This window comes from Homo sapiens, chromosome 9 (genome assembly GCF_000001405.40).
Source record: "Homo sapiens chromosome 9, GRCh38.p14 Primary Assembly".
In the NCBI taxonomy this organism is placed as follows: Eukaryota; Metazoa; Chordata; class Mammalia; order Primates; family Hominidae; genus Homo; species Homo sapiens.
In genome coordinates this window covers 127,320,236-127,342,913 of record NC_000009.12, presented here as the reverse complement: position 1 = coordinate 127,342,913, position 22,678 = coordinate 127,320,236, and the positions used below count along the sequence as shown (strand labels likewise).

The 22,678-nt window shown below is 43.2% G+C and overlaps 1 protein-coding gene across 17 annotated transcripts in view, besides 2 other annotated features; it reads right to left on the bottom strand.

The window, feature by feature from the left end:
* Window positions 1–22,678, bottom strand: part of GARNL3 (GTPase activating Rap/RanGAP domain like 3) — a 169,048-nt gene that overhangs the window by 50,747 nt on the left and 95,623 nt on the right. For all 17 annotated transcript variants that reach the window (NR_104591.2, XM_047423963.1, XM_011519086.4 and 14 more), the window contains 9 exons: window positions 22,136–22,199; window positions 17,819–17,845; window positions 10,565–10,640; window positions 9,793–9,891; window positions 7,581–7,684; window positions 6,678–6,786; window positions 4,753–4,798; window positions 3,163–3,269; window positions 580–695 (listed from right to left, as the gene is read on the bottom strand). Coding sequence is in view for 16 of the 17 variants with exons in the window: in XM_047423963.1 (XP_047279919.1) it covers window positions 580–695; window positions 3,163–3,269; window positions 4,753–4,798; window positions 6,678–6,786; window positions 7,581–7,684; window positions 9,793–9,891; window positions 10,565–10,640; window positions 17,819–17,845; window positions 22,136–22,199 (748 nt within the window). In the remaining variant the exon portion in view is untranslated. The remainder of the gene's footprint in view (window positions 1–579; window positions 696–3,162; window positions 3,270–4,752; window positions 4,799–6,677; window positions 6,787–7,580; window positions 7,685–9,792; window positions 9,892–10,564; window positions 10,641–17,818; window positions 17,846–22,135; window positions 22,200–22,678) is intronic.
* Window positions 5,673–6,872: an enhancer, noted in NCBI's record as "MED14-independent group 3 enhancer chr9:130098321-130099520 (GRCh37/hg19 assembly coordinates)". NCBI's record gives its function as "activates an origin of replication core promoter dependent on BRD2, BRD4, P300/CBP and CDK7 cofactors, and independent of MED14, by STARR-seq in HCT116 cells {active_cell/tissue: HCT116}" and the evidence as "EXISTENCE:reporter gene assay evidence [ECO:0000049][PMID:35650434]".
* Window positions 9,280–10,479: an enhancer, noted in NCBI's record as "MED14-independent group 3 enhancer chr9:130094714-130095913 (GRCh37/hg19 assembly coordinates)". NCBI's record gives its function as "activates an origin of replication core promoter dependent on BRD2, BRD4, P300/CBP and CDK7 cofactors, and independent of MED14, by STARR-seq in HCT116 cells {active_cell/tissue: HCT116}" and the evidence as "EXISTENCE:reporter gene assay evidence [ECO:0000049][PMID:35650434]".

Below are 22,678 nucleotides of genomic sequence, written 5' to 3'. Positions count from 1 at the left end.
AAAAAAAAAAAAAAAAAAAAAGAAAAGAGCACATGTGCACCTGAAGTGATAGAAAGGTGTTGGGTCTCATCAGTGTGGCTATGTCTCAGGCCTACGAAGTGTCTGGGTCTTCAGTAAATGGGAATGCTTGTTTCAGTGCCTGAATATGGGGCTGGCCAATAAATCTCCAAAAAAAAGCACCCTATGTCTTTCTAAAAATCCCACCTTTGCCTGCCCATCAGCTCATGTGACTGGCAATGCTGAGTAGTATTACCAAGAACAGCCACCCCAAAAAAAGCACTCTTCAATGCTCCAGAGATTGCTGATTGATACCCAACCTCCCTGTCCCTGGTTTGCACCTTGATTTCCACAGGCCCTGGCTTTCTGGAAATCGCATTCCTGTGTATGGAAACCCAATGTCCTTCCTTCTTGTGTCACAATGAGAGACTGTCAGCCCATGGTGGCCACAGCACAGTCCTGACAGCAAGGATCAAGGCGCCTCCTACGCTTTTCTCACCAGGGCCTCATCGCTGAGTTGAGGACTTGTGTTCTCAACTCAGACCCCATAAGAAGGAAAGAAGACCATGGACCCAGAATTACCTTATGCAAATCTGGCATCAAATCCTGGTGTAAAGATCTAATCAACATATCCAGGGTACGCCGACGTTTCTGGGCAAATGTTGGGGTTTCCAAAGTGGCTTTTTCACCATTAATTACTAAAATAAATCAAGTTAAAAAGGGAATTACAAGATATCTCTTGACACACACACAAGAATTGAAACTATGCTTGTCTGTTCTTTTCTTTAGTTCTGTGAATCTAGGAATTTTTTTGTTTGAGGTTTTTTTTCTGCTTAGTACCTTGGAACAATCCATTTTAAAGCCTCGCTTCGGCTGAAAAGGAAAAGGTCAAGATTTTTGTTGAAATGCCATCTCCTGTAATCTCAGAGTTTTCAACCTCGCTGCTCAATCCACTTTGGAATTCCGAGACTCTATGATCCGCCGGCTGCTACCTGTCCTCTCAGCGCACCAACCCCTCCTGGTCCTTCCTGGCCCCACACTCCATCTCCTCAACACACCCTCTCCATCACCTTGAGCCTGCATTCTTCTGCTGTTTCTACTTTCAAATCTTCAATGTCAAATCAACCCAGCCCTTCGTTTCATTTCACCTCAAGTCTTTGACAACGCTGATGAAAGTCCATCTGTTGACTGGCTCCACTTATAAGCCGGGTCCCTAGTGCTGCTGAGTGATCTCCAATTGGTGGTTACAGGTCTTTAGCGGCCCCTTCCTTGCCACAGGCCCCCTACAGTGAATGCTGTCTTCCTGAGCCCCATGCTGCCAACACCCTTTCAGCTTCCAGTAGCTACACCCACTCTGTTGCTGACTCTGTTTCAGATCTGTTTCTTGCTCTCTGTCTGATCCTCTGGACTTGAACACATGAGACTCGGACAATTTCACATACAATTTCAGCTTTCTGGCTTGATTTGAAAACTCAGAGTATCTGGCAACCCTGGCCATGGTGCATGCTCTGAAAGGCCTCAGCTGGATGGAGTGAGCACATGCTCTCAAGTGTGTCACAGCTCCCAGCACTCCTGACTGTCCTCCACTCAGCCCGCCTCACTTGCTCATGCTCCCTGCCTGGCTCTCCAGGCATCTGAGTTTGGGACCTTGTTGTAGCATTTGAAATAATGAGTATAAATACTGGAAAGGGAGAGACAAAATCATCATCTGTTGCACATGGTTTGCAGTGTCTGCTGCCTCTAATGTGTCGAGGGAGACATCACCCATGGACCCTGGTATAGGTTGGAGTATGGGAGGTAACAACGCTGGTGGTCCAGCTGGGAAGAGAGGCAGCCCAGCTGGAAAGCAGAGGGAGCCTCAGCAAAGGTGTCTTTCATGTCTCTGTTCTCCAGGACAAAGTTGTGGAATCATGCCAAGGTCTCTGAAAGGGAAGGGAGGGGTTTCCTATGGAAGAGAGGCTACCAAACAGCCTGGCCAGGACTTGGATGTTTCTGGTGACTAGAACTGACACTCATGCTTGGCACTGTTTCTGTGCAGGAGAAGTCATGTTTGGGACTGTGAAGGAGTGACTGGGGAGACAGGAAGACAGAGGAGAAACAACATGTGCCTGTCCCTTGCCCTGGCCTGAGGGACTGGCTTGGGCCAGTACTGGAGTAGGATTAAGATTGGAGGTTGGGTAACACTTGTCCACGTAGGACTCAGTGAGGCTTTGGGCTCAGTCAATGCTTCCTTGAGGCCAGGTGACCAGGACGGACAGAGTGAAGAGAGGGGCATTCTAGATGTCTCAGAGCTGCACGGCAACAGTGACAGACTTAGGCAAAGACTGTAGTGGGGAGGAGTTGCAGGTGGGGACAGGAGGCAGCCAGCAAAGCAGCTGCAATGCCCAGCATACCTGGCAGGAGGCTGGAAAGCAGTATCTTCATGGAGGGCATAGACCAAGCAGCCCTGCCAGGGCGTGCGGCTAGCAAGCTGCAGCAGATGAACCCGAGTAACTTGTTTCTGATCAATGACACAGTCCCACCATGGGACTACCAGAAATAATTCCCAGGGGTGCCCTGAGGAGGGATGCGCAGAGCTCTTGTGCTTTAAGAGATGTGGCCTCAGAGTCGGGTATTTGGGTATTACCAGTAGAGTGAAAATATGTGCTCACCAGCAAGTGATGCCTGGCAGTCATGGTCTACACACATTATGTTCTCATTCTGTCTTTCTCTTTCCCACACATGTGCATGGGTGCACATATACACTCACGCAAGTGTGCACACACATTCCCCAACAACTCTCCCTATCCCTAAGCATATACCCACAACCACTCTTTCCCCCACCTACATCCCACTCTCTGACAGATACAGATACATATACAAGCAGAGATTCAGCAATGGCTCTATCAGAACACAGGGCAGAAAGGCAAATTTGAGGCCCGAGGGTCCTTAGTGGGTGAGTGTAGAGAAGCTTCAAGGCAGGTGACAGGATGGAAGGTGGGGATGAAAACATAGGAGAAAACGTGCACAACATGACCAGAATACTAAACACATGTTGTGCAAAGAATTAACGGAACATGGAATGCTTAAACAATGACATTTCCTTAAACAGCATTCTGGGAGAATCTGAAGAAATGTATTCTGACATAGAACAAGTTGCAAAATTGTTTCAAAACAGAAACTTACATTTCACTAGCAAAAAGTCCCTGAATTCCTGGTGGTCTGTAAACACTGGTGGAGTTGGCAAGGGAGGGCCAAAGAGTGGTACGCTCTCTTCTGAAAATATTTTCAGCCTAAGTAGAGAATATTGCAGAATTAATATTAGCACTTGATATGGTTTGGCTGTGTCCCCACCCAAATCGCCACTTGAATTGTATCTCCCAGAATTCCCACATGCCATGGGTGGGACCCAGGGAGAGGTAACTGAATCATGGGGGCCAGTCTTTCCCGTGCTATTCTCGTGATAGTGAATAAGTCTCATGAGATCTGATAGGCCTATCAGGGGTTTCTGCTTTTGTTTCCTCCTCATTTTCTCTTGCCGCCACCATGTAAGACATGACTTTTGCCTCCCACCATAATTCTGAGGCCTCCCCAGCCATGTGGAACCGTAAGTACAATTAAACCTCTTTTTTTTTTTTTTTGAGACGGAGTCTCGCTCTGTCACCCGGGCTAGAGTGCAGTGGTGCGATCTGGGCTCACTGCAAGCTCCGCCTCCCGGGTTCACACCATTCTCCTGCCTCAGCCTCCCAAGTAGCTGGGACTACAGGCACCTGCCACCACGCCCGGCTAATTTTTTGTATTTTTAGTACAGACGGGGTTTCATCGTGTTAGCCAGGATGGTCTCGATCTCCTGACCTCGTGATCCGCCCGCCTCAGCCTTCCAAAGTGCTGGGATTACAGGCATGAGCCACCACGCCAGGCCCAATTAAACCTCTTTTTCTTCCCAGTCTTGGGTATGTCTTTATTAGCAGTATGAAAATGAAGTAATACACCACTATTCTGTCCTTCCATTTATCCAGCTGCATATGGGATGTGTCAGGAATATTTGCTCCATGCCAGGAGTGCCTTCTCTGGTCTGCCAGGGCCGAGGCCACTACCTCGCTTTCCCCTCCAGCTTAGTCAATGTGCTTTGAGGATAGAGACCAGGTCTTCCTGAATCCTTCATGGTCCAACCCATCAAGCCAGGTACCCAGGAAGAAGAGCAATGGCCATCACTGAGCACCTGCTGCATACCAGGCAGCATACTTGGTATTTTAAGATACAGTATTGCCTCTGATTGTCACTACACCTGCCGGGGTAGTGTCATTACCTTCACTCTACACAGAAGGCCTGAGGCTTCAAGAAGATAAAACATTTTTTTCAAAGCCTCAAATAAATGATAGAACTGGGATTCGAACTCAAATCTATTTGGCTCAAAGTTCAGGTTCTTTTTACAACATAATACCTTTTAACAGATTAATATTTGAGAACAGAAAGATAAGCAGGCAAGAATGTAGACTAGGAAAGGATGAAGATCAAATATATCAAACCTGTTCCCATGGTAAAGTACAATAAAATATCAAACTAACCCTGACCCCTAGGTCTCCTTCATGGAACAACACTGGATGGAGTAAATGTTTCCTGAAGAGATGGTGGCCTTGAAGAAAGTTTTGTAAGGTGCAGGCACTCATATTAAATCAATCAAGAAATATGTATATCAAGAGTCTTGTAAAAATCAATGCTAAATTAACAAGCATGAGAATTAGGACAAGCAATCGAGACAAAGTCATTACCTACCTGTAATTGTCATTTTGTTGATTGTATCTCACTAAGGCAAAAATATCTGTGGTGATGGTTAAGGGAACTAATCACAACACTGATGCTCACGACTGACAGCTTGCGCTCTGAAAATCCCTTGTGCAGAGTCATTCTCGACCAGCGCTTCTGTGCTTAGGGCACCTATCACTCTTAGGTTGGGACAGAACCCATACTTCTTTCCAAGAGACAGCCCAGGGAGACTTATGTGAGGGCACCATGAGTAGGTTCAATGTTTGTATGTGCATCCTTTGGGGAAAAGGTTTAAATCTCCAAAGCTGTCAGAAAAGCAATAGAAATATAGCTATTAAACAACTAAGCAGTCAGCAAAGCAAAAAGAGCAGTTCCCTTGCCTGGAAGTACAAACAAGATCCCAATAGGAAATTAGTAATACATTTCATCTCACACATTTGGAAAGGGAAAGCAATTTAAATGTTTCCGCTGTATACCTTCCCTTTCTCTCCTTTTGGGTTTGGTAGACAAAACAAAACAAGCCTGTTGTAGCTGGTGGCAGATTCTGAGCAGAATCTACTTAGCTTGTGCTGGGGTTTGCAGAGTCTAAAATAGTAGGAAAGAATCCATCCAGCTTCTTCCTTTCTCCCACTCTTCTTCCTCCCCTTCCACCTCCACCCACCATCTCCCAACCCCTGCTTTCCTTGGCTAGGGCTATGGAGCCATCAATTCCTTAGTGTCTCCATTTCTAGGCTCCCTGGAATGAATCTGCCTTAATGATCTGCTTGCCCCTTTTCAGGAACAAATGTGCCAAGCCCCAAATCTAAAACGTATAACTCAGGGAAATTCTAAAAAATAATGACTACCTCTCAATCACCTGAACAGTCACCTCACCACTGCTTCTACTGTGAATTTGGAGAAGTTTTCTGTTATACAAGAAGAACCACCTCTAGAAAGGGGAAATATTAGTCCTAAATCCCAGGGGACAGGGGCAGATATTACTCAGAAAGCAGGGATGAAAAGGGAAGAAAATTCTAATGAAGGTGCAAGTGCATATTGTTTGCTTCCCTACCCTCATGGAAGAAAGTTTGGAAACTGTTAACTTTTAAACACTTACTTCCATCCTCTATTTTTATGTCACAAGGAACAAGTCCAAGTCTCCAGATGCCATGAGTCACCGTGGGCCTGTCTCCAAACATGTTTACTTGGAGCCTCCAGGGAAATGAGTAACTCGACTAGAATTTATTCTGAAAATGCTGATTTGTTGCCTTTTGCTTATTATGTATAACCAGTAGAGCCACCAACTTTGGGTTTTGCTGTCATGGTCTGGGACCCAGAGCAACAGGGCCACAACTGAGTGTCTGCTGGGCAGGTCAAGCTCATGCCCCATGCCTGTCTGGCAGAGCTGAGCTCAGACACTGCAGAAGCTTCAGCCCCATTGCTGGACTTTGCCAGCAATATGAGCTGAACAGGGATTAGGGGAATCAGATAAAAATACTATTAATTCTATCATTTCTCAAATTTCAAGAGATGGTAATACAACAGCGATTACCAGGGCTTAAATCAACAAGAAAAATTATTTTGGCCTTTTATCTTAACTTGCAAGTTTTTATGCCTAAAGCAAATTTCTCAGAGAATTCAGCACCTATAATTCTTCTAAATCATTTATGACTGAAGGATAGCAGGAAGTTTTCCTCATTTTGTAGACTACCTGAGAAAAGAGACCATATTTCAGGAGTCAAGAATTCTCTGAGAATTAATCCATCTACTACTGAAATGGAAGGAGAGAGGAAGGGGGAACTATACACAATGCTTAGGAAAAATTCCCCAAAAGTGAGTCTAAAGCTAGCATTACAAAACAAGTCCATGACAAGATTTGGTTTAAGGGTCATGGAAGTCCAGTGAGGCTGAACCACAGCTTGCCACACTGGAGCATTTACAAAGGCCCAGGATACGTGTAAAGTGGGAGCGGATCATGGAAGGCTTAAAGGCAGGAGAAGATTCCTCTCCTTCTTGGAACACAATGGTGACGATATCGTTTCCAATGTGGCGTTTCCTTTCCACCTGTAGTGAGCATAAATAACATCACTGAGAAAGACTCTCAAACATGGCACATTCACAGAGTTAAAAAAACATAACCCAATATAACAAACCACAGCCACTATGACAGAGCCCTGAACTTCAGACATCTTTGACTTCAGGCTTCCCATGTTTTGCCAGCCTAGGCCCTTGCTCACCAACCCATCTCCTCTGCTCCTGTCTCAGTGGCCAAGCTCTGGGGTGGGTGAGGAGTATCTTAGATAGAGGTTTTTTCCCAGCCTGGTACATCCCATGTAGATACTCAGTGTTAACTTCCTGCAGTGACCTGATAACAATACTTGTCAACCATCACACAGGACCACTTATGATATGTCCTGGAGAGTCTCATTTTGACAAGACACAAGGCACACTGAGAGAAGGCACAGAGAAAAGGTAACACCTATACAAAATAGTCTCTCAAGAGTCCATGTTGGATAGAAGAATGTTTGAATCAAATATATTAAAAAAAAAGAGAGAGACAAAAAAGAGTCTATGAAACCACACTCACACACATACAAATACCTATACATGTTTACACATACACACGCATGCACATTATTATCTCTGACCCCTTATTTCTCTAAGGTGACAGCACCAGTGAGAATAGCTCTTCCTAAGATTTGTAGAAAGTTCCAATACAGACCGCCAAAAGCATCCCTAAATTGGTGGCCACAGCTCAGCTCATATGTTAACCGGCATAGCCCCTAATTCTATGGAATCATAATGGTGCCCTCTCCACATTCACATCACTATTTGATGGTTTGTATGTTCACATGTACCTGCTGTTTGTTCTCTTTGGAATATGGCAACATGGTGGAAACATGAAACATGATCTCATGCCCTTGGTACACAGTATAAACTGAATGTATCCCTGTGGTATCATCTGCAAAATATAAATATGCATTCAGTGAGCACAGAGAATTCGAGCCAAAAGGAAAGCATTTTCATTTGCAGACTAGGGAAATACTGTATACAGGACATTCTCCAAGATATTTGGATTATCCACCTGCATGGAAGCAACAACCCTCCACTTGATGCAACCCCCCACATGGAAAGGCCTCTTCCTCTCTCCCTAAGCTCACTTGCTGTCCAATTCATGCCTTGCCTCAGAATGGAGAAGGTCATAAGAAGTCCAGGCTAAAGAGGAGAGTATTGAGCTTCCTTGCCTTGCAGTTGCTGTGGGAGGTACGGGATGAAATTAACACAAGATGACACAAACAATTATGTCCATAAGCCAAAAGGAAGTGGTATTTGTGACAGAATTGTTTGTGATTAAAAGCAAAGGCTTTACAATGAGGCCGACTTGGATTCAATTTGTCATTGGCTATGTGGCTTTTGACAAGTTACCTCACTTCTCTCTGAGCCTCAGTTCCTTAATTTGAAAATGAGGATAAAAGTCGTATCTAACTCCTAGGGATATTGGGGAGACTCAATGAGATTATATTTGCAAAGTGCTTAGCAGAATGCCTGGCTGTATCAAGGGCTCAGTGGATGGTTGTTATGACCATATTGGAGACGCTGAGGGTTGGCAGCGGGGGTATGAGAGGCAGGCATTGAAGAATTCACCTTGTGCACTCTATGTGTGTTCGAGTGAAGCTGGAACCTGACAACTGGGGCCCAATCCCCTATCCCTGCATCTGTCAGTTAGGGCACACTTAGCTCTCCCGAATTCAGAATCCGTGATGCCATGGCAGGCTGGTGGGAAGATGAGGCTCCCAGAGGGTAAGGAGACCTGCACTCGAAGCCTATCACTATTAGGCCAAAAGGGCCTCACACCCGCTGCCTGACTTACCTCAAGGACTGACTGTGAAGATCAAATAAAGCAAAAAAACAGAAACAAAGGGAAAAGCTAGCAATGCTACACAAAAATGAGATGGTGAAAGAACTTCCAACCCTAAGCTTGTAATCTTACCTACCTTCCCCACTCAGGCCCCCATCCTCAAAATGCTTCCTTTCAGGTGTTTCCAATCTCACCGCTGGTGCCAACCCCACCCAGCTACCCAGGGCAGAAACCCTGAAGTGTCTTCAAGTACTGTCTCCTCTTTCAACCTCCACTTGCCAATTCTACCATGAAAATGGCTCTTGAATTAGTTCCCCTGTCTCCCTTCTGACCTATGGCCCTCTCCCAAGGCAACCCTGTCTCTTGTTTGGACTGTTGCCACAGCCTCTGAGAGCAGGCTTCTCCTCTGCCTCCCCTGTCTGCTCAAAGGTACAGATCTAATCTCACCACTCCCCTACTTGAAACCCCTTAATGACAGAGAATAAAATGCAGACTTATTAATATAACCTCAAAACTCCCTTCAGGGTCATGCCCCCTCTCCTACTCCAGGCCACATTGCATCATTCTCAGTGCCTCGTTCCCTCCAGCCATAAACAAATTCTCTTAGTTTCTAGAACACAACATGTTCTTTTCTGCCACAAGGTCTTCATGGATGTTCTCTCTGCTTGGAATTCTCTTCTCCCCTCGAGACCCTCCAATTATTCCGACTCGCCCCTCCCTCTGGCCTCAAAAAAGCTCAGAGAAGCCTTCCTTAATCCCCCAGATTAGGCAAAATGCCCCATAGCACTCTGTACTTTTTCTTCTCAGTTGCCTTCTGTACTTAGTGCTAAACCATTTGATGATTATCTGCATAACATCTGCTGGATGTCCCCTGGACTGCAGGCTCCTAGAAAGGAGGACCCCATGTTGGTTTATCCACTTCTATATCCCCAGAGTCCTGGCACACAGATGGTGCTGAGCAGTAATATTCATGGGCAGACCAGGACTTCTGACACTGTCCAGGGCTGTGAGGGCTGATTTAGTTTTACGAAGCTCAATGGAAATGCCAAACAGGTCCATGACTCTATGTTGAACAGGGTGTGGAGCTCACCTCCCTCCAGTCTTCTCTCATCCATCCCTTCCCCCTTCTCTGGTATAAGTTCAGACACGGGTCAGGCTGACTTACAAAAGTTATACAAATTACAACAGAATAGATCAAGAGGCAGGCTTACTTTTGGTATCCAGACCGCCACGGTAGCCCGTCCAGCCCTTTAGAGTGATTGTGTCACCCAGAAGATTTAAAAATTTTTGAAAAGGCTCGCTTCCAATTTCTGCAGGAAGAAGTAGAGTATGAGGAAAGTATGGGCATCAACAAGTCCTCATTTTCTAACTATGGACCGGAATCGCTGGAAAATTAACTGGGCTCTGCCGATTCATGCATGGTAAACAGCATGGGTAAGTCACATTTCCTTCTTCTTGAGCACCATGAGGAAGCCCCACAATTCCCAGGACTCCAAGGAAAGGAAAACTGCAGAATCAGATGAACCCAGCTTACTACTGCCAGCCTGGGACCACAGGTGTTTACTATCGCAAAACAAAAATGTTATTACTGCTTGCGTTCAGAATAAGCAGGTATTTAACACGAAAAGTGCTAAATATTAGGAAGATGACGCCATCTTATAATTCTTCCTCTCATAAAAATCACAGAAAAATCTTCCACTGCTCTTGGGACTGTGTAGAACCAAATTCTCCAAATCCCATGTGCTCTTCTGTCTCTCCAGTGCCCGGAACAGTGACTGGGTACAAACGAGGTGATCAATAAATATTTGCCAAATGAATGAAACTGGGCAACAACTGCCCTACAAAATTCACGCTGAAATTGTGTAAAACTATCTCCTCGTATTAAAGACTCCAACTCAACAGACAAGTTAAGCTCCAACTGGCAAGAATGCAACAAGGCAGGACAGGGTCTCTGGCAGCAGAGAGCGGGAGGAGATCACTCACCATTGCTGAACATCTCATCATCAGTGAGCTGCCCATCTTTGGCAAAAAGAACCCCAAACTTGAAATTCACAGAGCCCTTAGGATAATAACAAAAGGTGTTACAGTTAATTTTATCATCACAGCGTATATAGTTTTGAGATGGGCTGTTCGTGACTTAGCACAATGGCAGTCACCAGGATGGACAGTCAGGGGATCCCTTCCTCCCATCCATCTGGGTTATTGACCAATGTTAACAACAATCATTCCTTCATTTTGATAGGTATTTATAGCTTACAGATGAGACTGTATGCTTTTATGAATTCGTTCATTTGTAATTTCATTACTAATGGCATCTCTAGGATACCAGTTCTGTTCTGTGGCAAAACAGGGTTCCAACAAATGGCCACAGGAACTCACAGGCCTGGCACCATCTTCCAATCAACCCATGAGCAACCGTCCAAATCCCAGTCAGCGAAGAAGAGTTCGTTGTAATTCAAAGCTTAACATAATCTCAGGCTGATATATTGTGGACTCTTTTAGACACAGAAATGAAAATTATAGGCAATTTATACTAAAAGCTCATTTTCCCCAATTCCTAAAGATATTCAATCTGAAGAAGTCACAAAACAGATGTGAAAAAAAAAAAAAAAGCAAGCCCAAGCCAAGCAAGCAGTAGCTGGTACAAATGTGCAATCTACCATCTCCAACTTTAAACCGAATTAATTCTGATCTGGTGGAAATGATAGATAGCAGCTTCCACAGGGAAGGGAGGAAGACAGAGGAACAGGGGCAGGGAGGCGTAAACAGGGACTCAATCATATTTTTAATGCTTTTCTTCCTTAAATTGGGTAGTGGTTTTTTTTTTTCTTTCTTTTTTTGAGACAGAGTCTTACTCTGTCACCCAGGCTGGAGTGCAGTGGCGTGATCTCAGCTCACTGCAACCTCCACCTCCCTGGTTCAAGCAATTCCCCTGCCTCAGCCTCCTGAGTAGCTGGGATTACAAGCATATGCCACCATGCCTGGCTAATTTTTTTTTGTATTTTTAGTAGAGATGGGGTTTCACCATGTTGGCCAGACTGGTCTTGAACTCCTGACCTCAGGCAATCCACCTGCCTCAGCCTCCCAAAGTGCTGGGATTACAGGTGTGAGCCACCATGCCCGGCCAGTAGTGGTTTTGTAGGTCTTCATTATGTTATTCCCTATACTTTTTTTTGTATACCTGAAGTATTTCATAATAAACACAAAATCAAATGTTGGAAGAGAATCGACCTCTACAAGGTTGGTTGACCCACCACTAGATGAAGAAATTCTTGGTGGTCAATTAAGGGTAGACAAGGGACAAAGATATTTAAAGCACACTGGCCAATGGGTCAGAGGCAGGAAGTCAAGGCGATTGCCAGGATTCAGGATAGCTGGATCTGAGAGTATTAAAAATCCGAAAATCCAAGTTCTAAGGCTGTGCATCCGAACATTTTTCTGTCCCCAACACACCTGAGATGCACACTCATCACTAACAGTGGTTTTCTATACAGGAAGAGAGAGGACACTCCCAAACTGACCCCTCCACCTGGAACTCTTCCACAGTTCCGGGGATGACTGGCTCTCTCCCATCACGTAGGTTTCAGCTCAAGTGTCAATTTCCAGAGTGGCCTTTCCTGATCTCCCCATATAAAGCCACCCTCCTTCCTGCTGTTATTCTCCATCGGAGAACCTTGTTTATTCTCCTCGAAGCACTATTTACACTCTGTAAATCTTTTATTGAACTTGCGTATCTGTTTCTACCACTAGAACCTGAGTCCTGTGCAGGAGAAATCATACACTGTTTTCTTTCCATTGAATCCCCAGTGTTGACCATAGTACATTGGAAAAGATTAATAAATATTCATGACATAAGTGACTGTATGCATAATAAATGAGAAAAGAAACTTTGTCAGAAACAACTTATTTTTCATACGATGTCTCCAAATGATCACTGCTTCCTTACAAACTAGCATTTGATAAATTTCTTAGAATGTTTCCAGGGACCTCTATTCACTTTAGGGTTTTATGGTTTATAACTTTTCTTTCTCTGTTTTCGAAGTGATGACAGTAAGCACATGTCTCAAGGGTCCCTTAAAAAGCACCTACAGTAATTTGGGGTCTGACATATGATCCTCTTAGAATAATAGTGCAGGAACTACAGTAGTGGTTCTCAAACTTGACTAGGCATCAGAATCACCTGAAGGGCTTGTTAAACTGAAGATTGCTGGGTTCCACCCCAGGAGTTTTCAATTCAGCAGGTTTGGGATAGGGCCTGATAATTTGCATTTCTAACAAGTTCCGAGGTGATGCTGATACTGCTGGCCTAGGGCCCCCACTTTGAGAACCACTAGACTAAAGAAAAAACCAAGAGGCTGTCAGGAGGCCCAGGATCAGGTCCAGCTGAGCTGACAGCTAGCAAGAAGGACTAGGTCAATGACCATAACTCTGAGCCATAAACTGACAGCCTGCTAAAACCAGAAAGGACCCTATAGTCCACTGAGTCCATGCTTTTATTTTAAGACAGGACAGGGAAGCTCAGGGAAGACAGGGACTTGCGCATGGCTGGAACTAAGTGAACGGTAGGACCGGAGCTGGAACTTGGGTCTTCTGACTTTTGATCCAGCATTCTTTCCAGTATCATGGCATAATCTTCTCTGAAAAGTTTCAAGTGAAACTGAGATGTACAAGCAGAGATGGGGCCTACTACCACCTGATCACTGGCCAATGCTTTTAAAAGGTTTTATAGGATTGCTCTGAGACTGGCACCATGCTACCATACCCCTGCTGAGGACCTCTTCTGCTTCAGGTGGAGACTCCAGAAAGACTGGTTTTGCAAGGTCTTGTCAAGTCTTCATCACAAGTTATTAGGGTCAGACAAGAGCAAAGTCTGTAAAGCAGCAAGGGTTGCATGATGGGGGTCTTTTAAGTACCTGTGCACCCAAGGGTGTAGGATCTTCAAGGTAGGGAGATCATGTGTCCAAGTTTGCCAAGACAGCCCTAGCTTATATCTGTTTTATCTGTTGTCCTGATGTTATTAGTAATTACTCTCAAAGGGTCCCAGTTTAAATGATAAATTATATGAAATCCTCCTGTTTCAGGTGGAGATTCCAGAAAGACTGGAAGTACTTGTTAAGTACTTGAACCTACTTATACAGCCTCATTTAGGTAATATGGTGTCCAGGACTTCCCAAATTATGTCCATGACTAACAGTTTTCACCTATCTCCAGAAATCAAGGTATGGCTCATTATAATGAGGTATTTCATATTTTAGGAGGGGATAGTTTGATCTGGTGCAAGTGGACTGTCGCAGATAATATTTTAACCAGCCATTCAGAGCTCTCAAGGTCTCAAGGCCAGACCTGGGTCCCTGGAGGGAGGTGCTGCTGGAGGGAATTCACAGGTACTGGTTTTCTCAGGATGTAAGTCTTGCTCAGACATTCAACATACAGATAAGGTCACATCTGTCATTCCTGCTTGGATGGAATTTAAATTTTCTAAGTTCTAAATTTTACAAGACAAAACTCAACCTGATTACAAACCAACAGGCAGTCACATTCTTGGAAATCAGTAGTATGCTATGAATTATAGTTCTTCTGAGAAAAACAAACTATGGGGGGAAACTAAAGTCCCAATGATTCCAGAAGAATTTTTTGGACCTGAGAAATGATGGCCTTATTCAAAATGAGACACCCCTGGTTCCTTGTTACTCTTGTTTAGGCAACACCTCCATATTTCTAGGGTTCCACAAGTTCCTACACATCTTTCCTCTCTCCATGTGTAGTACAGCTTGGGATGCCATGTTCTCTTGTGGGGGTGCCTCTCTATGCAGCAAACAAAACATGGGTTTCAGGACACTGACATCATTTTACCAAAGTGCTAACCTTTCGGGAGCCTCACTAGTATTCTTTATTGGATTACCTGCCCATCTTTGCAGCTAATAGTTTACCACTAGAATAGGCTGGAATTGGGATAAATGCTCCCAATTTATCCCAGTTGAGAAGCAGCAGGATTAAATAGAGTGCCTCGCCACACAGCTCTCAGAGAAGCTCTGGAGGATCATGGCCATTGTTCACACTCCAAGATGTCATGACAAGTGACTAGTGTTGTCTCAAGCTAATATCCCCCTAATAAGGAAATAAAATTGAAAAATAAAGAGATCAGCAACTTATTTTTCACAACTTGGGAGTTTCAAAAAAAGCAGAGGAGGATGCAATGAACAGTGAACAGGCGTTCTTTCAGGGTCCAGCCCCTGAAAAAGTGGTGAAGTCGGGGCAGGGGAAGTAAGTGTTCACATTTCCCATCAGTGCATTCTCTCTATTGTTTGTTTGTTACAACAGGCATGTGCATGCACTCAGTGGGTGCTCAATAAATATCTGTGGATTAATGAACAGAGTAATTTTGAGATACAAAAGCTATATATAATCCTAATTTTATATAAAACGTAACAAACATATATACCAAAATGTTAATAGCAGTTGTCTTTGTGACTGCAGGTGATTTTTTCCTTTTATCTTTTGTGTATTTCTTTTTCAAATTTTTACCAGAAATGTGATTTTTTTACTTTTTGCCTTTTACAAATTACATGTGAAGTCCATAAATTCTCCTGCAACAAGCATGAATCTAAGATGGACAAAATACGGATAAAAATGTAGTCAGGCATGGTGGTATGAGCCTGAAGTTCCAGCTACTCAGGAGGCTGAGCCGGGAGGATCACTTGAACCCAGGAGTTGGAAGTCAGCGTGGGCAATATAGCGAGACCCTCTCTTAAAAAATAAAAAAAGCAAGCATCTCCCTTTGCCTGCTCTCTGCTGCATCCCACCCCAGTTCCACTGTCCTGCCCAAAAGCAACTCCCGCCAACAATTTGGGGTGCATCCTTTCAGCCCCTTCTTTGTATTTACATCCACATGTTCAAGAATCAACTGAGGTGTCCCTGCCTCAGAGAAACCTTCTCTGTTCAATGTAAAAAACCTACCCCCTCACCACACACCCCACCTCTGTGCATTACTTTCTTCACAGCTCTTGGGGTTACTGGTCTTACCATGTTTCTGTTTGTTTGTTTACTTGTTTAGCTTGTCTTACCCCACCAGACTGTAAGCTCCGTGAAGAAGGGACCTTTCTTGCTCACTGATGTATCCGCAACGCCTCAAACAGTACATGGTACATGCACGGTAGGAGCTCAATAAGTATGTGTTGAATCAATGAATGAATGAATATACATAAAAATATTTGTTTATAAAAACATAATTGGGATTATACGTAAATAATGTCCTGTGAGTTGCTTTTTTCAGTAAATACTATGTGATGGCAATCTTTCCATGCCAATAAGTAAAGGTCTATGTCTTGGTCTATTTGGGCTGCTATAACAAAATACCATAGACTGGGTGGCTTAAAAATAACAGAAATTTATTTCTCACAGTTCTGGAGGCTGGGAGGTCCAATATCAAGGCAGTGGAAGATTCGGTGTCTGGGGCGGGGCATATTCTGGGTTAATAGATGGTGGCTTCTTGCTACATGCCCATGTGGTGAAAGGGGCAAACAAGCTCCCTTGTTTATAAGGGCACTAATCCCATTCACAAGGGCTCCCCCCTCATGACCTAATTACTTCCCAAGGCCCCACCTCCTAATACCACCACATTGGTAGGCAGGCTTTAACATATGAATTTTGGGGGGACACAAGCATTCAGACCATAGTACTCTATCTCACTCTTGCACTATGGGTGCATAGTAGGTGTATTATACATTAGTATTATATATTAGGTGTATTATATATTAGTAGTTATATTTATGGGGTACATGAGATGTTTTGATACAGGCATGCAATGTGTAATAATCACATCATGGGGAACGGGGTATCCATCCTCTCAAGCATTTATCCTTTGTGTTACTACCTTATTTTTTCTAATGGCATCATAGCATTTCATAATATATTCATTCAATCAATCAATCATCAATCAATCAATCACTTGTTCAACCAACAAATACTTACTCTATACCTTCTATTTTTACTGTTCTAGGATCTGGGAACACAAAATTAAAGAAGTCTCTGTTCTCATGGTGCTTATAGTCTCCGCTCTCATGGTGCTTTTATTCTCATGGGGGAGACAGATAATAAGCACACAAATGAAAATACCAGCATTAAGAAAAATCAAAGAGGCTAAGGGTGACAGGCAGGGTGTACTATTCTAGACAGAGTGGTCAGGGAAGGTCTCTCTGAGCAGAGGTCCTGATTAAGTGAGGACATCTGGGGGACAAGCATCCCCAGCAGTGGGAACTATAGGCTCTTTCTGAGGAGATGGAAGAATAAGGAATTCAGTATGTTGAGTGTGGAGCTGACGATTGGAGAGGTAGAGGGGCCAGATCATGCAGGCTCCAGCAGGCCAGGGTCAGGATCTGGGGCTTCCCTTTGAACAGGACAGGAAACCTTTAGAGTTTTGAGCAGAGAGATGACCCGATTCCACATGTTTCAAAAGGACAACTGGCTACTATCTGGAAACCAGAAGAGAGGGTGAGAGTGGAAGCCAGGAAAAGAGTTAGGAGAGTCTGCAGAGCCCAGGCAAGAGAGGATGGGGTGGCATCCCCACACCAGAGTGGTTGTGGTAGAAGTGTTGAGAAGTGTTTGGATTAGGGATATTTTATGAAGAGGTGTCACCAGGATGTGCTGATAGGTTAGATATAGGATGAGAGAGAAAGACATGGATTAAGGATTTTTCCAAGTTTGGCCTGAGCAACAAGACAAAAGATACTGCTATTTACTGAGAGGGATAAGATACATAAACCATAATTTATTTACTCCATTGCCTATTGATAATATTTTAGATATTTCCCTATGTTAGTTATATACTTAGAAAATCCAATATATTTATATTTTTAATGGGGGCAACAGGGAATGGCAACATGCAAATAAATTCAGCATTTTGTATATTAAGAGCATCCTAATAAAGCACACACACCCTACTTTAATGAAAATTAAAACCTCATTACTCACCCTGATCATAAGCTTAACACATTAAATGTTTCCAAGCAGATTTAAGTAGTTTGATTGTTTTCATAGCTTTATAGCTAGATGCATAGAAAATTCTAAAATATACCTTAAAAATACATGCCAGTAAGTTCTTTCCGCGCAATGTGTCCCACTGTGCAAATCTACATGGAGATTTGGCTGAAAGCAAAGGCTGGGTTCACAGTGAAAGGAGAAATATATTTACAAACATGGAGGCAGAGCAGGTGCAAATATCTCCATAGAATTACTCACCTCTTGTTCTTCAAGAACCAGCAAGTCCTGTCAAATAAAGTTTTAAAAGTTACATCCAGGCATAACAGTAATTATTTCATTTTGACTTGCTGTGAAAGCCAAGCTTTGGTTTGCTCACACTGACATTTTGAAAATAATTTTAAAAGTTGGTTATAGGAGCTTTGTTTGGGGGAAAAAAACCCAACTATGACAAAGGTGGGTGCCACGAGTCTTGGATCTTTTTCCCCTATAAGACCATCTCGTAAGAGCAGCATGGAGCAGCAAACCTAAACAATCCTTTGAATCCCTGCTGTCGCATTCTTAACTGTGTTTGGGCATAAGTCATTTAATCTATTTGGGTCTCTCCTTCCTTCTGTCTTAACCCCTGTGAAGATCACTGTCAGCGTGTGTGGAAGACCTGGTACACAACGGAGATTTAATCAACTTAAATTACTTTCCTTTTCATTCTTAGTCACCCCATATAAAAGTTTGTAAACTTATTACAAGGAAGTCCCATCTTTTCCAGAACTTCTAAAAAAGTAGATTCTGGTTGATAAGCGGACACCAAAGCCAAGGCTCTGACAGGGACCCTGTGGCTGAACGGAGTGGGAAGGAATGGCCCAGGTGAGCCATGGGGACAGTGCAGAGGCGACGAGGGTCAGGATGGAGGCACGGAGGCTGGAGGGACCCTCATCCTCCTTCTGGCCCAAGACTCTCTGGGGAAGAGCTGTGTCAACTGGAGACATGGCAATTCTGAAAGAACTGTAAGAGGCATACAAACCTCCATTTTATTTAACAGAAAGCCTCTTTCATTCAGAACTCAGCCATCTTTATTATTTTATTCTTTCTTTTTTTGTTTTTTTAAAGAGACAGGGTCTGGCTCTGTCCCCCAGGCTGGAGCACAGTGGTGCGACCTTGGCTCATTGCAGCCTCGACCTCATGAGCTCAAGCAATCCTCCCACCTCAGCTTCCCAAGTAGCTGGGACTATGGGTGTGTACCATCATACCCAGCTATTTTTTTGTATTATTTGTAGAGATGGGGTTCCACTATATTGCCCAGACTGGTCTCCAATTCCTGGGCTCAAGCAATCCTCCTGCTTCAGCCTCCCAAAGTGCTGGGATTACAAGCGTGAGCCACCACGCCTGGCTGTATTATTTCTGAATTCTGGGAAAAAATAAAATTATGTTACACATTTTTTACATTGGGACATTATGTTTGCATGTCACTGTGTATGTCATTACAAAATTCTCTCTTTCCATGGTTTACTTTGATCTTCCTCAACACCTTGTGGTTTTTATTAATTTTTTTATTTTTAATTTTTATGGGTACATCAGTAGGTGTATATATATATATTTATGGGGGGGTGCAGTTTAATTGTTCCTGAATCACAGGTGGAGGAATTGGATCCCCAGTTAAGGTCACGTGGCCTGTAAGTGTCAGCTCTGAATCTCACGCCCAGTCCTTTTAACACCCACGCCAGTGCTCCTTCCTTGCTAACTGTGGTGAATAAGAAAAGGATCGCACCTCTCAGCTTCTCAATTGCCACTAGCCCTGCAAGCATTAGGACTGGGATGTTTTGCAACCAGTCCCTGGCCTGGTAATAGAGGCTGCTCCTCAGTGGGCTAGGCTGAAGGAATCAGAGCCTTGCAACAGGAGTCCCGGCTGAGCTCAGGGCTAGAGTCTCAACACTCAGCTGTAGAGGCAGGAGGGATGTCATAGGCTGTCAGGTTACATTTATGTTGCAGTTTCTTTATTTTGGATTACATTTGTTCAGAAGCGAATAGTCCTGCAATTTGCCCTGGTTTGCCAATGTCCCACTTAACATAATTCAGATTTTTAAAATATTCTTGTTCCTGAATTTGTGAGCATCGGAAGTCCTCTTTTTTGCTGCTTTCTAGTGTGTAATTTTAGCCCAGAAAGTATAATTTTGGCTAGTAATGGTGTTTCTCAATACAGTCCTACTGGCATTACTTTTGATGTATGCATGATTCTAATCATTAGTTTGAGGCTGACACTGATTTTTTTCATATATATGAGATTTGGGAGAGTGATTTTACATACACTTTTTAAACCTAGAAGTGTTTTAAAAATCAAATTTAGCTCTACCGGTTTTTATAAAATACCTGGTCATTTAGGAAACATATCGCAACTATCTGGAAACAAACTTGATGGGTAGGAGTGGGAAGAAACACACAGATACCCTTTTTTCTCTATCCATTTAAAGCTAGCTTAATCACACATTGCTTCTGGATTTTGGTCAAGGAAAATGTTACTACAGTATAGCAGCCAGAAACAGACAAATAACATTTAAAAACAGCACCAGCCACCTTCCCTCTTTGTGGAAAGATGCCTTCTTTATAACACAGTTGGTTTACTTTCTGTTTACTCTCTGGCTCCTACCATTTTTAAGAACTCTTTCCTCTCTACCTAAAGCCTGTTGCTCAACTCTTCCTAAGGGAAATCTACAGAAATGTGATGACAGCCTTCACCCTGCATCTCTGAGCCTCATACACATGTGCAAATTCACACACACATGCACACTCACACACACAGAGGACAAGGGGAAAGTTCACAAATGGTTCCTTTTGTTAAGGGGAAAAAAGCCAAAATACAAATGTAGGAAAGCATAAAAGTACCTTTTGTTTGGTAAAAACAGGCACAGAGTTGTGATATAAATAGGCAGAATGCTGCTATATCTTTTTTTTTTTTCTTTTCCTCTCCTAGAAAAATCAGACAGGGATGACTGAGCAGAGGTGAGCTCTGCCGAGGGAACTGGCTCAGTAGCAAGAGGCAGAAAGAAGCATCACAGAGCTCTGGCTCTGTGGGTTTTGGGGCTCCGTGTCTGGGAAGCAGAGTTGGTGTGGGGGATCAGACCAAGGCTTAAAGAAGGATTAGGAATAATAACCTGTGTGAGTGAAGTAATAAGGACACATGGGTACTGACATATTTATAATTCTAGTTTGTTTTAAAATTTGCTATAAAGTATCACTTGTAATAAGCCTGGATGGCTTAAAGTCGCTTACAGTTTAAACTAACATACCCATTTTTGCCTGAGTTCCGTCTGGGGTTGAGGCTGGATGTAAATACTATTTTAAAAATTACATCAAAACAAAAGATATGAGAATTCACAACTCTCTATATTTGGGGTAAGCCAAGAGTTGATAACCTTATTTTAAAAGCTAACCGTATTTTAAAGATATACAAGCAAAGATTGTTCATGTTCCAATCAGTCCTCCTCTTGCTATTTACCTAAAAGCAAATTTGAGCACGATGCTCCCTGCTTAAAGGTTCTACTGGCTCCCTGCTGCCTCCTGGATAGAATTCTAGCCTGCCTCTCCAGCCTCCTCTCTTGTCACCCATCCCTGGCGTACCCAACTACTTCAATCTCAGCTTCACACATGACAGGCACTCTACTAGTGATGGCTGTGTTTGTAAGTTTCAAAGCTAAATTGGTTATAACTACAAGACAAAAGTTTGGTTGACATTTTTCTGATAAACCGTCACCTAAATTATGACTAAATTTTTTTCTCTCCTAAGGCAGATTGTTTTCCCTTAACAGTAAGACCTAAGAAAACAGGAATGGCTTTCTGGATACCTTTTATCCTCGATGGTAGCCAGCGCAGTCTACTACATGAGTAAGAGCTCAATCGACCACGTTTTGTATTTATTAACTTTTTAAAAATCTCTTTAACATTCCAGGCTGGGCGTGGTGGCTCACGCCTGTAATCTCAGCACCTTTGGGAGCCTGAGGCAGGTGGATCACCTGAGGTCAGGAGTTTGAGACCAGCTAACATGGTGAAACCCCATCTCTACTAAATTAGCTGGGCACGGTGGCAGGTACCTGTAATCCCAGCTACTAGAGGCTGAGGCAGGAGAATCGCTTGAACCCAGGAGGCAGAGGTTGCAGTGAGCTGAGATCGCACCATTGCACTCTAGCCTGGGCCACAAGAGTGAAACTCCATTTCGATTAAAAAAAAAATTCTTTAATGTTCCACACAATTCTATATTACTCAGTAAAAAGGGTAGCTTTTAAGCCAATAAGATTTTTCTGAATGTACACCCTATTGGTTCGTGGATTGAGGACAGTTCTGCGGTTCTCAGGAGTGGCTACGCATTAGAATCACTTGAGGAACTTCTGAAAAACTCAGATACCCAGGCCCTACCATAGACCCATCAAATCAGAACCTTAGGTGTGAGGTTCTCCCATGATGATTTTTTTAAAGTTGCATAGGTGATTTGGCTTTGCATCCCAGGATAAGGATTATGATGACCTGTCAGTTCTATCCTAACACTGTAATCAATTTTGTACAATTATGAAGCATAAAATTTTCTGTTACCTTTTGTATTTCAGGATGAAAAATTTCCCTGGGGCCTTTCTCAAATTTGTCCAGATTCATGGCACTGAAATAGAATGGACAGGATGAGCTGCAGCATCAGAGAAGCTAAAAAGGAGCTTCTAGAAAATCACAGCTGTTTTCCCTAAAGGGCCTGACACTCAGAAGATACAAATCAACAAATGAGTTATCAATGAACAAACAGATGAAAGTAACCAACACCACATGTACTTGACTTATATAACTGGCTCCTAGTGATACTCATAAGAGAGGGAGAGAGAAATCAGGAACATCTGTTTCAGGTAACCTTGGCTATTCTTCTAGATTCTTATTTTTATTTACTAAAAGTAATGAATGTAATTAAGATTTAACTGAAATTTCTATGCCACATAGGGCAAAAGACCATCCTTAACAAGACTTTTTAAAATGTTTTACTTTGGACAAGCAACGTAAATTCCCTTGAACCTAAGTTCCTATAGAGGTAAAACAAGGAGATTGAAATAGATCTCTAGAGTTCCTTTCAGCTAATATTCCAATATTTATAAG